The sequence below is a fragment of the Homo sapiens genome, chromosome 14, assembly GCF_000001405.40.
Source record: "Homo sapiens chromosome 14, GRCh38.p14 Primary Assembly".
In the NCBI taxonomy this organism is placed as follows: Eukaryota; Metazoa; Chordata; class Mammalia; order Primates; family Hominidae; genus Homo; species Homo sapiens.
The window spans coordinates 52848179-52863968 of NC_000014.9; the positions used below are offsets into that span (position 1 = coordinate 52848179).

At 40.2% G+C, this 15790-nt stretch overlaps 1 protein-coding gene and 1 long non-coding RNA gene across 9 annotated transcripts in view; one reads left to right on the forward strand and one right to left on the reverse strand.

Annotated features, from left to right (window-relative positions):
* Nucleotides 1-15790, forward strand: part of LOC105370500 (uncharacterized) — a 138447-nt gene that overhangs the window by 56391 nt on the left and 66266 nt on the right. The window lies entirely within an intron of this gene.
* FERMT2 (FERM domain containing kindlin 2) overlaps nt 9095-15790 on the reverse strand; it is a 93778-nt gene continuing 87082 nt past the window's right edge. For 2 of the 7 annotated variants that reach the window (XM_006720010.4, XM_006720008.4), the window contains 5 exons: nt 13409-13432; nt 12836-12856; nt 12163-12287; nt 11395-11536; nt 9095-10372 (listed from right to left, as the gene is read on the reverse strand). In XM_006720010.4, the coding sequence (XP_006720073.1) occupies nt 10199-10372; nt 11395-11536; nt 12163-12287; nt 12836-12856; nt 13409-13432 (486 nt within the window). In that variant the 3' untranslated portion in view covers nt 9095-10198. Of the gene's footprint in view, nt 10373-11127; nt 11537-12162; nt 12288-12835; nt 12857-13408; nt 13433-15790 lie in introns of those variants that run through there. The other 5 variants (NM_001134999.2, XM_006720009.4, NM_006832.3 and 2 more) reach the window with 3 other exon arrangements.

A 15790-nucleotide genomic window follows, 5' to 3' on the forward strand; every position in this document is an offset into this window, starting at 1 on the left:
GCTGGGATTACAGGCATGAGCCACCGTGCCTGGCCTTTTTTTTTTTTTTTTTTTTTTGACAGAATTTTGCTCTTTCTCCCAGGCTGGAATGAAGTGGCGAGATCTTGGCTCACTGCAACCTCTGCCCCTTGGGTTCAAGCAATCCTCCTGCATCAACCTCCCAAGTAGCTGGGATTACAGGTGCTCGCTACCATGCCCGGCTAATTTTTGTATTTTTAGTAGAGATGTGGTTTCACCATGTTGTCTAGGCTGGTCTCGAACTCCTGACCTCAAATGATCCATCTGCCTCAGCCTCCCAAAGTGCTACGATTACAGGCGGTAGCCACCGCTCCCGGCCTCAAGAGCAAGTTTTACAATCAGATCTTACAGGTTTAGAAATCGTTTTTAAGGATCAACATAATTTGCTCTCAAGCAGCTCTTGGAAGTAGAGGAGACATTGTTCATTCATGTTGTTTGCCTAAAGAACAACAACAACAAAACCCTCTAGAAGTTCTACATTGCATGGATTTGTCTTAACCAATGAAGATTAAAGAAAACATCTGTCCAGTTCCCTCTTTAAAGATCTTCATAGGAGGAATTCTGGGCATGTGAAAGAGGTCAAGGTCACAGTGTAGGCTCCATCTATAGCACCGCAAGGTCTGGAATGGGGCCTTGCAAGGAACTTAGTTCCGGCTTCCTGCTAAGAATAAGCAGAAGACATTTACTTTTCATTATGTGGTTGCTTTCAACAGAATCTATGAGAAAGTAAAAGGAAATTTCTAAAGTACTGCCAGATGGCGAGTACTTGGAGCACGGAAGCTAGAGACTAAAGCCCAATCAGAAAGAAACGTGACACACAGGACAAGACAGGCTCTTTTGAGAATACCTGAAACTAAAGCATTATAAACCTTCCATGAAGACATTTAGGCTGATTATAAAAAGTTGTTCCTTGGGTATGAGGTTTAGAAACAAAAGTCAAATTTAAGTGACAAGGAGGATCTCAACAGTAGCCTCCTATTAGCTACCTATTTGCTCTTGGCAAGTAAGTTTCTTCCCTGTTGAGGCTGTTTTTGAAGAGTTAGGGCTTCCTTTCCCCATCTTTGGTACAGATCAACTGGTATTGCCACTGCTGGTAAAAATTATGGCTTTTCATTCAAAATAAACCCTTGTAGACAAAGCTCAGGTGTGTTTCCTTTAGTCTATGATACTCTGCCTTTTCCATTTTCACTGAAGCTGCCCGGAGCTAGTTTTACCAAATATATATGTATATCTTTAAGCCTTCTAATGGTTTTACGTACCTGTAATTACTGCTTCTGCTGGTACTCTCTATATGAACCAGGGACTTTTTTTTTTTTTTTTTGAGACGGAGTCTTTTTTTGAGACAGAGACTTGCCTTTTACTCTCTATAGCAGCTTCATAGTTCTCATAGTTCCACTGGTGTGCAGTGGCGCAATCTCGGCTTACCGCAACGTCTGCCTCCCAGGTTCAAGCGATTCTCCTGCCTTAGTCTCCCAAATAGCTAGGATTACAGGCGCCTGCCACCACGCCCGGCTAATTTTTTTTTGTTTGTGTTTTTAGGAGAGAAGGGGTTTCACTATGTTGGCCAGGTGGGTCTTGAACTCCTGACCTCATGATCCACCTGCCTCGCCCCCACAGCATGCTGGGATTACAGGCATGAGCCACCGCACCTGGCCAAACCAGGGACATTTTAAAAGCAAAACAAAATAGATTCTAGGTGTTTTCAAGATTGCTTTGCTATACAGCAATAATCTTTAACTTTCCTATACTGTTGTCTTCATGTTCATACATCTATAAAGCACTTTCTTTTTTTTTTTAGACGGAGTCTCGCTCTGTTGCCAGGCTGGAGTGCAGTGGCGCGTTCTCAGCTCACTGCAACCTCTGCCTCCTGGGTTCAAGCGATTCTTTTGCCTCAGCCTCCCAAGTAGCTGGGATTACAGGCACGCGTCACCACACCCGGCTAATTTTTTTGTTTTTTTTTTTTAGTAGAGATGGGGTTTCACGGTGTTTGTCAGGCTAGTCTTGAACTCCTGACCTCATGATCTGCCTGCCTCGGCCTCCCAAAGCACTGGGATTACAGACGTGAGCCACCATGCCCGGCAATAAAGCACTTTCAAATCATGAAAGTGTAGGATAATTTCTTGAGAGTCAACATCATTTTTAGAATTCCTATTTGCTAAAGTTAGCATTTATGGAAGGCCTGGATCTAGAGTACAGCAACGCCTTTAAAATCCAGGCTGCAAGAGAAGGTGTCTGGTAAGCTCCTTGACTTCTCAGCCATGACTTGGGCCATTTAGTAACATTTGTGTTGACCTTTTCATACAATGAGTCACAATATTGTGATTTGTATACTGACCAGATCTTTGAGCTTAGAGTTGATTTTCTAATAGAGCTGATAGGTCTGTTCTTGTCTATTCTCTCTTATGGGATTTACAGGATAGTGGTACAGCCTGTGAGTATGAAACAAAGAACAAAGCCAACTGGACCACAAGGAGACTGAACCCCTGACCCGGGGCTCATTAGCTCCATTCTTAAACCACGGCAGCTAAACAGTCAGCCAATTAGAGGTTCACTTGGCAGCAGAGGCCAGAGCCATGTGCTGATCTCATCCAGGCTCAGGAAAGCACATCAAAAGGGCAGAGTAGGCCGGGTGTGGTGGCTCACGCCTGTAATCCCGGCACTTTGGGAGGCCGAGGTGGGCGGATCATGAGGTCAGGAGATCAAGACCATCCTGGCTAACACAGTGAAACCCCGTCTCTACTAAAAATACAAAAATATTAGCTGGGCGTGGTGGCAGGTGCCTGTAGTCCCAGCTACTCCAGAGGCTGAGGCGGGAGAATGGCGTGAACCCGGGAGGTGGAGCTTGCAGTGAGTGGAGATCGTGCCACTGCACTCCAGCCTGGGTGACAGAGCAAGACTCCGTCTCAAAAAAAAAAAAAAAAAAAGCAGAGTGGCAGCTGTCAAGAGCAAGACTCACGTCCATTAGGCTGCACTGACTTTTAGTGTCACTTTTGCAGTGGATTTCAGAACCACCAAGAGTCTTTTAAAAATACAGTAGTTTTCTACACAATAGAAAAAATTTAAAAATCTTGGACTATAAATAAGTTTAATCTTACTATGTATCTTCTGCATCTAGATGTTTTGGTTCAGCATCAGATTGAGATTCATCTGTGCTGTTTTGTGTATTGGCATTTTATTCATTGCTGTTTTCATTCCATCTTAGGACTGGATTATAGTTGAGTCTACTGTTGAGACATTTGATTGTTCCTAGTTTCTTCCTAAGTTGTGCGCTTTGCATATTCTTGTGCTTGTCTCCCGGTGTGTATGCGCAGGAGTTTCCCTAGGGTGTTTGTATACCTCGCAGTGGAATTTCATGGGGGTAGGATAAATCTGTAATTTTACCAGATGATGTTGAAGTGTTTCTGAAGTGCTCTGTTCCAATTTATACTCCCACCAACAATACGTATTCCAATGATTCCATACTTGATAGTCAGATTTGAAATATTTTACTAATATGGGTAGACCTGAAACTGTATTTAAAATTTATTTCTCCCAAATTTTCTAGAATACTAGTGAAGTTAAACAGTTTTTCATAGATTTATTGGCCATTTCAGGTTTCCTCTTTTGTGAAATACCGAATGTTTTGTCCATTTCTCCTTTGATTGATCTGTGTGCGGGTTCATTTTCTGGATACCAATCCTTTGTCAATTATGTGTTGCAAATATCCTCTCAACTGGACTTGCCTTTTACTCTCTACGGCAGCTTCATAGTTCTCATTAATGTAATCAGTTTGTACTATTTGTGCCTCTACACGAAATATCTTTCCCCAATGTCATATAAATGGTCTGTCATCTTTTTAAAGTTGTGTGGTTTTGCCGTTCACATCCAACACTGTGACCCATTTGGAATTGATTTGGACTTATACATACAGGTATGAGGTTGTGGTCCAAATTCTTGTTTCATAAAGATAAGCACCAGGGCCGGGTGCGGTGGCTCACGCCTGTAATCCCAGCACTTTGGGAGGCCGAGGTGGGTGGATCACAAGGTCAGGAAATCAAGACCATCCTGGCTAACATGGTGAAACCCCTTCTCTACTAAAAATACAAAAATTAGTCGGGCGTGGTGGCGGGCGCCTGTAGTCCCAGCTACTCGGGAGGCCAAGGCAGGAGAATCGCTTGAACCCAGGAGGCGGAGGTTGCAGTGAGCCAAGATCACACCACTGGACTCCAGCCTGGGCGACAGAGCAAGACTCCGTCTCAAAAAAAAAAAAAAAAAAAAAAAAAGATAAGCACCAGCACCATTCATTGGGAAGCCCTTTTGTTTTGTCCCAATCTGCACGGCCACCTCTCAGAAACCAAGTGTCTGTATGTGGGCATATGTATTCTGGAGCTTCTGTTTGGATTCTCTGGTTGTTTTATTGATCTCTGTGCCAACGCTACACTTTCAACATACTTTATACTAGTTATGTGGTAAGGCGAGTCCCCTCACCTATTGTTTAGGAACGTTTTGGCTATCCTGGCCCCTTGCTCTTCTGTTTTCCAAATGTTCCTTCTAAGGCTAATTGGATTTATAATTAGGCCAGCACGACATAAACAAGGTTGTTTAAATACGCTTATCAGTAAACCTGACAGTAAACGTGTTCACTTGAATCTTACTTGTCATAAAGGTCACAAAATTTAGATCTGAGATGAGAATTTTATGCTCATACCTCCTCTTTATCATGCAGTATCTGCAAACTGTATTAATACGATACAATTTTAAACTTGTTTGGTTGGCTGTGCTGTTTTTAATCACAAATTTAATTAACATTGAACTTGGACCACTTCCCTGAGCAGTAAAACAGATAATGCCTGGCCAGTGAAGCCACATGAGACTAATTAGATCTCATGAAATAATGGTCTCAAATTATTTTAAGTGCTTGTAATTTTTAGTAATATGAAGGCCCATGAACAAATATCAAAAGGGAAACCCAACTGAGAGTGTGTGTGTATGCTGATAACTGTTTATTTAGGGAATTTTAATGTACACAATCAGCCTGGGAAACTTTGTACTGTTTATTAAATAAAGCAGAGAAAACAAGAGAGGATCAACACAGTGGGAAATAAGGTCACCAGATAAGGCTTTTTGGCTACTGCTTCCTGTTCTGGGTAGCTCTGCAATTCACTCTGAGAATTTTACTCCCTTTACCCAGATTGCAAATTTCCCATTTCCTGTCACTTATCTCTGCCACCTCCTTCATTCTTGAGCTGCCAGACCAAAACAGTTCAAACAGATAAAGACACAGTTAATTTGTTGAAGAGAACAGAGCTCTCCAGTAAACAACTTCTTCCTAGATCTTACTTTGTAGAGATGAGTGGAAATATATCAGCAGAGTAAGAGTTGGATCAACTTATTGTACCATGTTCATTAGGTCTGCACCGATGTAGCAAGTTAACTCATCCTTGCCTTTCTTCTGCCATTTATAGGACAAAAAGAGGTGATGATGCAATAGCTACAAAAACATTTTGTGAGTGATGGATTTGTAACTCAGTGTCTCTGTTTTTAGAATTAAGGAGAGAGAAGATGGCGGCTGTGCAGGGTTATCCATTCAGTATCAGTGATGTAGTATGTCACACAGGGATGGATTTCAGAAAGCCTTGTGCTCAGACTTTCTGAATTATTGACGTGATGAGTGAAGACGTTACCATGTTTTAAGTGATGAGTATAAAACAGCTGTGTCCGTTATCAAACTTAGTTATAAGGGTGGCTGTGCACGGTGGCTCATGCCTGTAATCCCAGTGCTTTGGGAGGCCGAAGAGGGAGGATCACCTGAGGTCAGGAGTTCGAGATCAGCCTGGACAACAAGACGAAACCCTGTCTCTACTAAAAATACAAAAATCAGCCAGGTGTGGTGGTGGGTGCCTGTAATCTCAGGTACTCAGGAGGCTGAGGCAGGACAATTGCTTGAACCCAGGAGGCAGAGATTGCAATGAGCTGAGATCGCACCACTGCACTCCAGCCTGGGCGAGAGTGACACTCTTTCAAAAACAAACCCAAAACAAAAAAAACTTAGTTTTAAGGAATAGAAATTATGATCTCACTGCATCACTAACTGATCTTTAAAAGCATCTTAATAAGATTCAGCATGTTTTTTAAAAAGTAAAAATACAATATACAGAATAACAGTATAGTCTGTGATGTACTTGCTTTTTGGCCTCTGTAAGAGTAGAGGGTCAAGAATGGCATGTGGCTTTTCCTTGATAAAGTTCATGTCTCTAGCTCCCTGACTTTGAAAGTTCACAGTATGTAAAACATAATTTGTACTGAGTTGAACTTACTGATTAATTACATCAGCATCAGGGGGCTTCCAGCACGTTTCTTTTTTTTTTTTTTTTTGAGACGGAGTCTCACTCTGTCGCCCAGGCTGGAGTGCAGTGGCAGCACAATCTTGATTCACTGCAACCTCCGCCTCCCGGATTCAAGCAATTCTCCTGCCTCAGCCTCCTGAGTAGTTGGGGCTAATTTTTGTATTTTTAGTAGAGACGGGGTTTCACCATGTTGGCCAGGATGGTCTCGATCTCTTGACCTTGTGATCCACCCGCCTCGGCCTCCCAAAGTCCTGGGATTACAGGCTTGAGCCACTGCGCCCTGCCAGGGGCTTCCAGCAGGCTTCTAACCTGATGATTTAAGGGAAAGAATTGGATGGGAGCTAGGTTGGGGTTCTGTCACCAGTGCTTTCATGTCCAACTGAGCTTGAGTCACATGGAGCAGAAAGCTGAAGCTACGTCTCTGGAAGTCCCAGCTAGTATTCTAACAGACCTATGTTCTCTCTAGAGAGGTCACTACTAATAGTGGTCTCAGAATTCATGAAAGGTTTGTTTTTACTACTACTAGATAGGGATATGATTGGCCTTGGCAGTAATCATAGATGTGTGACTTTAAACAGGTCAATTGGCCTCCCCGAGCCTCATCTATAAAATGAAGAGGCTGAATTGTATGAATCCTTGAAAGAGTGAGTACTTAGCACGTTTCCTGTTGCATAGTTGGTGTCCAAGTTAGTTTGCTCTGTATTAAACTATACTGAGGCTACAAAAATTCTGAGTTCTAATAATAATTCCTTTGGTTATTTGGTTTGGTTAATAATTTGGTTATTTCCAAAATAACCATCATTATATTCAATAAACCCATGTGTAACTGATTCTAAGTAGAAACCATAGCACTAAGATCCAGTCCTCAAGGATGTAACAATTCTATGTTAGGGGCAACATGATATACTCAACCATAATAAGGACGATTACTCTTTAGTTCCACAGAAGGACCAAATTCAATGGCAGTTCAGGAGGAAGAGAGTTTTTGGCTGCAAGGAAACTTGGAAGTGTTTATGGAAGAAAGAGCACTTGAGTCTTTTGGTTTTTTTTTTTTTTGAGATGGAGTCTCACTTTGTCACCCAGGCTGGAGTGCAGTGGCGAGATCTTGACTCACTGTAACCTCCACCTTCTGGGTTCAAGCGATACTCCTGCCTCAGCCTCCTGAGTAGCTGGGACTACAGGTGCGCACTACCATGCCCAGCTAATTTTTCTATTTTTAGTAGAGACGGGGTTTCATCATGTTGACCAGGATGGTCTTGATCTCTTGACCTCATGATCCGCCTGCCTCGGCCCCCCAAAGTGCTGGGATTACAGGCGTGAGCCACCACGCCTGGCCTTTTTTTTTTTTTTTTTGAGATGGAGTGTTGCTCTGTTGCCTAGGCTGGAGTGCAGTGGCACAATCTCAACTCACTGCAATCTCCGCCTCCTGGGTTCAAGCAATTCTCCTGCCTCAGACTCCCGAGTAGCTGGGATTACAAGCATGTGCTACCATGCCCAGCTAATTTTTGTATTTCTAGTAGAGACGGTGTTTCATCATCTTGGCCAGGCTGGTCTTGAACTCCTGACCTCGTGATCCACCCACCTCGGCCTCCCAAAGTGCTGGGATTACAGGTGTGAGCCACCACCCCAGGCCCACTTGACCTTTTTCTAAAATGCTAGACAGATGAGGTGTAGACAGATACAAACTGGATGAAGGTCCAGGACTAAAGACATTCCAGACTTGGGGAATGATGGATGGATGAGTGCAAAGTGGAGAATGTGAGCTGCCCAGCTGGACTGGAATGCAGATTGTTGGGAGATAAGGATGAAAATGTGGGCTCGGAGACCATACAAAACCTCTGAGCACTTTACTTTGGCTTTTATCCTGTAGGCAATAAGGAGTCATTAGCGCTGAAATGCAGCTAGCGCTATGTTGGGGCTGGATTAATCTCAAGATCACTGGGAAGGCAGCGGGGCAAACCAGAGGTGTGGCAATCAGCACAGAGGCTACTCTCACTTGTGTGGAGGCCATGGGACTAGAAAGCACTTGAATAGGTGTGGTTTCAATCAAACATGTTTTGGGGCTTTTAATAAGTGACATGTAAGTTGGTGACTTGCACAGTCACTTACTAAAGATGAGGAAAGGGAGTATATTTTAAAATGTTTAGTGGAAAGGAGCTCTTAGATTTAGGAGCAAGGCCTGTTATGGCTTTGGAGTACAAAGAAAAGTCATGGAGAATGTCATCACAGCCTTGTCTTAAGATGGTGCCACACTACAGCAGGCACAGGACAAAGAACTGAATTTGGATGACGGTGACAGCAATGACAAGAGAAAAGATGCAAGGCTGTGTGAGGGGAAAATCAACAGGAATTGGTCTAATTACATGCAAAGGGTAAAGGACTAGAAATCTGAGTCTTGAATGATGACAGCAGTAATGACTGGGAGTAAATTCGTAAATGTATTTTTTTTTGTAAACCAAGAATAATTTTGTTATTTAAAACAAATTCTGCCACAGCCAACTTCTATTTATAAGTACATTTCTAACATTTAGATATTACACATTCATTTTTAAGTATTAAGAAAATGAGGGCTTTTCAATTGAGGTGAAAGACTATCTTTGAGATAAAGTATCTCTATCTGGCAACGCTGTGGAATACTAACCAGTTGTTCTCACAAAATAACATGCAGGCAAAGCAATTCCAAAAGGCAGAAGTTCATTTCTACTAAATTAATACTATGTAAACATTAAAAACAAGTACAAAAATAAATATTAAATAAAAGTTTTGCTTTTATTTAAAATAAAATGCATTTATACAGTCTTTGAACCATGGATTATTGAACAATACTGGTAATCCACCTCTCCCTCGCACCCTTTTGGGCTATGTGAGCTAGGAATTTTCTGACTAGCACCAATACAGATTGTAACAGCGCAACAGACTAGAACATGGCCAGTCCAGGCATTAGAGTTAAGGACATTGTGGCAAATCATGATCATAATGAAGTCATTCTTAATTTAGTAGATATTAAAACTGCACGTTAATTATATCTCTTAAAGGCATTTAATTAACGCAGAGATTGCTACATTTAAGCCATCTGCTAGTTGTGAGTAGTTTTTAAAAAACTGTACAATTTTATAAAATTTGTGTTTTTACATTAGTTACACAAAATGCATACTTCATAGAACTTTACTTCATATTGTAATGCAAAGAGTTGCATATTTTAGGCAGACAGTGATTATGCTGGTGAATACTAAAAGTGTAATACAATATGGTGTAAAAATAAAAACACGAGACAATATACATAACATGCTTATTCAAGGACAAAAACAAATCAAGCACGACGGACTAATAGCATTTTCCTTCAAGGTCAAACACAATGACATTACTAAATATCAGGCCTCCTGCATGCCTGATTTATTTGGGGGTAGGGGGAGGAATTAAATGGCTACCAGAAGTAGGATATTTTAAAACATGATATCAAATTAAACATACATTAAATCACATGCATTAGACATGATAAATAGAGTTCATATAGGTTAAGCCCTGGATAGCTTTAAAATAGATGGCTTGTTTCTTACAGTTTGGCTAGCTTAAATCAGTAAATCAGTGATGGTTTGTTCCTGATTTGCCCACTATTTCAGTTTTCAATTCATGGCCCTAAGGAATGTGTGACAAATTCAAGTTTATTATATCATAACATGATAGATTAATAGTCGTGCTTGTTTAGTGCACATATTAACTGGTCTGGTAAGGCAAAGAAGTTTTCATGATAAAATGATAAATTTCAAGCTTACTTTATTAAGCAGCATATAACAAACAGCTTTTAAAGTTAAATATTGTTATGGCCGTGGAGTTTCATTAAACAGTATTCCTATTCACACCCAACCACTGGTAAGTTTGTAGAACATCTCTTCATCTAAACTCTCGTTTTGGTCTTTTGCACGTGTTGAGAGAAATATGTAGCCACCAATGAATTCATGAACCACTTTGCAATCTACTTCAGTACAAATGAAGGACAATCGTACTTCATCTGCAAACTCTACGGTGACCTGGAACAAAGACAAGAGCCATCAGTGCTGTCCCAAATGCTAGGTGGCTGGGTCCACACAAAACTACTGTGCTACTTAAAGTCTGTCATATCACAAAACACTTGTTGATCCTCAAATGATCAGTCTGTCTAAAACCTAAACGAATAATGCCTTTAAGTCCCAAAGAAGAAGCTAAGTTTATTGCCCTTCCCCTACACTTTAAGTTTTCATGTTCTGAAAAGGAAGACTAGGAATGCAAGGGTTTTAGGTCGTTCAGTTCTCAAATGGTCTCTGGTGATTGATTCAATTAATGAGAATGCCTCTCTTCAAGTCGTGCAGGAAAGCCTACTTCCTGTGTTTTAACGTTCGCTTCAGATACTTAAATTTTAGGTATCACGTTTGAGTATTTCAGAAATATAAGATTCTTTGAAGTAATAGGAATTGATACAATAAATCCAATATGATGCTAAACCAAATGACTTATTAGTAAAAGATGGTTCATTTTAAATGATACTCGTATACTCCAAGACTGGGGGCAACATGATGTACAGTGGTAAATGTGCCAGGTTTTTAAGCCTAAAGCATCTGAGTTTGAAATGATTCTGTAGTTACTTTGTGCGTGGTCATAGACAATGATGGCCCTCAGGTCTCTCTATTGCAGTGTCTTCATTTGTCCAACTGCCTTAAAAGGCTGTGATGAGGTTTAGAGACAGGGTACTAATGTAAGCCTCTAAGTATCATGTCTGGCACAGGGTAGGCATTCAACAAACAGTAGCTGCTATTTCAGAGTAGATCGGCTTTATCCATTACAGAAAGACAAAAAAGGCAACATTCTAAGCAAATTATGCACTTAGAATTTTAGTAACTGGGCTAATTATGAAATAGGCAAATTTAAGTGAGAAATGAATAGTCAACCATGGTCTGTCTGTACTTTAAGAGGTGGTGGTACAAATAATCATCAGAATTTATAGGCCTTTTTATTCTTAATGTACTAATTTGTATCAGAGAAGGACTATATTCAAGTAACATTGTTATGAGTTTACCATTTTGATTTCCCAGTTGACATTCCACTGTTTCATGTTGCTGAAACGCCATGTTTTAATTGCATCTCCAGTGCTGGCATCCATCCGAATCAGTCTGTTGTATGCAATTCCAATAAGTTCTTCTTTTTTGCCCCCTTGGAACCTATAACATTTAAGAAAAGAACGGTTAAAAACATGTTGTGGGGGAACATGTTGGACTGCTTTTCTTCAAGATAAGTGTTCTCTCTAACCCTAAAAGAGTACTATTCTTTTTTTTTTTTTTTGAGACGGAGTCTTGCTCTGTTGCCCAGGCTGGAGTGCAGTGGCGCGATCTCAGCTCACTGCAAGCTCCGCCTCCTGGGTTCACGCCATTCTCCTGCCTCAGCCTCCCGAGTAGCTGGGACTACAGGCGCCCACCACCATGCCCCACTAATTTTTTGTATTTTTAGTAGAGACAGGGTTTCACCGTGTTAGCCAGGATGGTCTCTATCTCCTGACCTCGTGATCCACCCACCTCGGCCTCCCACAGTGCTGCGATTACAGGCGTGAGCCACCGTGCCTGGCCAAGAGTGCTATTCTCTTAGTAGTAAAACAAACACAATTATCTTGAATTTTTAATGTAGAAATTAAAAGCTTACAAAATACATTCTAACAGTCTTTGAATTCTATTGTAATATGAGTTAATGGGTCTACATAGGTATGCTTTAGATGTTTAATATCTAATTACATGAGGTAGATTAAGCAAAAATGCAGATTAAGGTTTACACATAGATGCTTAGAACCACTGACCTTGCAATGAAGTGAGTGATGCCAAATTCAGGTAGTGACTGCCAAGCTTGAATAAATCTCATCTTGGCTTCAATTAGACTCATCTGAGCTACATTCTGATGGGCCTCCAAGATTCTCGCTGTTATCTAAACATGAGTAAACATCACCTTTACCATTGAACATTATTCTCTCATGGGAGAACTGAGACAAAAGATCAAAAGATTGAATTACGCACCCCGTACCCCAAAATCATATTGTAAGAGTTGAAATCAAAATATCTGAAGCTACATTTGGACACTGTAATAATGTAATGTATAAGGATTTTTCAAAATAAGTCTTAATTTCAGTTTTCATATATCAACAAAAAGTACTATTAGGAGTACATAGTTGCCACACTTGAGACATATTCCAAATGCATACACCTAACGGTACTACTATTACAGAACAGCACATTCTAATCCACATATACACGAGTTTTAATTAAATTTAGCACTATGTCTATAATCAGAATGAATACCTGGAATACATGTTTCTAGCAGGAATATTTGTTAGCAGCTTTAAGGTACTTGAAATCACCATAATCATTTCTATTTTAAATTTAAATTTCACTACTGGGGTAAATTCCATGAGGGAAGGTTGTGGCTATGAATTTTTATTTATTCTTTTTCTTTTGTGGTAAATATGGAGAACTTACCAAATCTCTTATATAGCCTGGCTGTAGATGGCAATGCGAGGAAAGAAAAAGGAAGCAGAAAGAAAAAAAAAGGCAATCAGAAAAAATGGCAACGAAGCAAAGAAAAAGTTGCGGTCACCTGCAAACCAAAATTCCAGCCAAAAGTCATGCAAAAAACTACTTTAGGTAGAAACCAAGCAAAGTAAATGCAAGAATGAAAAATGAAAATGAGGAAGCAGCAATTACTTTCCATTTAGAACACTGAGAAACACTCCACATTATTTTAGAATGTTAAATGTTGCTAAAGAACCTAAGGGTAGAAATTTGTAGGGAGAAGATAAAAAGAGCAAATATTTCTTTCCCCCTACATCGTGTACCCAGTTACATCGTGTACCCAGTTCTCACCGGTTAAGGTAAAGCCAATTATTTTAGTAGCAAAATAAAAGTATCCAAAAGCCTTTAAAGTCTTCTCAGATTTAGTCAGATAATATGATCCATGCACTGCTTTTCAGAAATAAGAATTTGAAGGCATAAAATAAGTGCAGTGCCCATCTGTTTCTTTTTTTACACAAGAAAAGCAAACCCCTCAGTTACCATGTGTTTTTTGCATCCTTTTTCCTGGAAGGGAAAACAAAGAGATGCCGTATACTACATGAGGAATTTCGGCTTTATGGCATTAGTCATTTCCATTTAGATTAACATAAATCAACATATAGAATAATTCTTCAAAATTTAAAAATCCAGTTTGAGAGTCATATTTATTTAAAAATACCCACAGCATGTTTAGTTAATATATATATAATTGAAGGGAATTAAAGTAGGTTAAATACAACAGGTTATTTTGATAGACCCAAAAGAAAACTACGAGTCTATGCCCAGGTAGGGAAGAATGTCCTTGTGGCCTGCACATCTTCCTACAGCCTCCAGAACGCAACTGGATACAGCTTAATAATTACTGAGCACTATGTCCAGTGTGACTAGTGTGGTATCTGACACACAGTAGCAACTAAACTTCTGAATGTCACTACTTACTAGGCACCAGGGCAATAACATCATGGTCGCTATTCTCTGGAAACAATTTTTTTTTCTGAGACAGAATTTCACTCTTGTCACCCAGGCTGGAGTGCAATGGCGCCATCTTGGCTCACTGCAACCTCCACCTCCCGGGTACAGGTGATTCTCCTGCCTCAGCCTCCCAAGTAGCTGGCATTATAGGCGTGCACCACCATGCCTGGCTAATTTTTGTATTTTTAGTAGAGATGGGGTTTCACCATGTTGGCCAGGCTGGTCTCAAACTCCTGACCTCAAGTGATCCACCCGCCTCGGCCTCTCAAAGTGCTGGGATTACAGGCGTGAGCCACTGTGCCTGGCCAACAATTTGTAAGTCTATTCCAGCAGAGTGTGGTGGCTCACACCTGTAATCCCAGTGCTTCGGGAGGCCAAGGCAGGCAGATCACTTGAGCTCAAGAGTTTGAGACCAGTCTAAGCAACATAGCGAGACCCCATCTCTACAAAAAATACAAAAATTAGCCTGGAGTGGCAGTGCGTGCCTGTGGTTCTAGTTACTAGGGAGGCTGAGGTGGGAGGATTGCTTGAGCCTGGGAGATGGAGGCTGCAGTGCGCTTGAGCTATGATGGTGCCACTGCACTCCAGCCTGGGAGACAGAGAGACTCTGCCTCAAAGAGAACAAAATACACACCAAAAAATCTAACCTATAGCTCTAGTGAGAGAAAGGAGGGTTAAAAATGTGCATTTGATTAGATGGCAACATGAAAGGCAAGGCCAGAAGGATCTTTAACCACGGACCACACACAAACTGTCCTCCTGTCAGTTAAAGATAAATCTTCAGTTGATAGTTTCTAGTCAAGAACTATCATTTAAAAGGCTTCTGAGAAAACAAATAGTTGACAGTGAAAACAATGTGTGGCAGCTCTCGTTTAAGCTCTTTTATCTCCCTGATACCTTACTGTGAAATGATAAAATTGGTCAGGTTTGAAATTACTTATTGCCTTTGAAGGCAAATAAGTTCACTTTTAGAAACAAGATTCTGTATAAATAATTTTAAAAAACTACGAATGAAAAATGAAATTAGCACTTGCTTTACTTTCTCTTTTTAACTTACAATCTACATTCCATACAGTTCCCCAGGGCAGCATTTCCTCCATTCCTTACTACTCCCACATCATATGACCACGGGATAAACAATTTCTAGGCTTACACAACCTCTGAGACTTAAAGACAAATATTCTGTCATTAAAATTCTGAACATTTAGGTAGAAATAATTTTAGACCCATATAATAAATATTATACTTAAAGTTAAGGAATTAGTAAGTGTTCTGGGCATTTCATTGAGCCTTTTTAGTATGTTTTAAAATTATTCCTTAACAAAGATTAAAGCAAAATTAGATAAAAACAAAATGTTTATTTTAAAGGTCTTCGTCTCCCCACCCCCAAACTAAAGCCTTTTCCTTTTATGGCATGATGTTGGGGGCAGAGAATACCAGGGCCTATACCAAGTGAAATTCCCCTGTAAAGGACTTTTTATGTTGTACCAAAGAACCATTTTCCTAAGTAGCAGCCCTTTTATGGTATTAATTTCCAAAGAAAAGAATTCTAAACAGAGTGAACAAAAGCAAATTTCAATGAAAATTTACCAAACTGTGTAACTATGTGTAAAATTGTGGTTAGGTTCTGACTGAAAATGTTAAGAAAAGACACGGCTAAAAATGTACTCTTGTAAAGTTTCTTTCTAAAGCTGGAAAAGCCAATTTCAACAAGAGCAGGTATTACAGATTTTGTTGAGAAATGCTGGCTGCACTTTATGTCACATTTACTTAATTATATATGGAATAAAATTAAATAAATTAAGGAACACAAAGCATTGAGACCATATTCAATTCCCTAAAATGTCTGAAAGAACACCATGTTAACAGAATGATTTCTGCAATTTGTTTAGAGTAAGTTCTCAACTATTC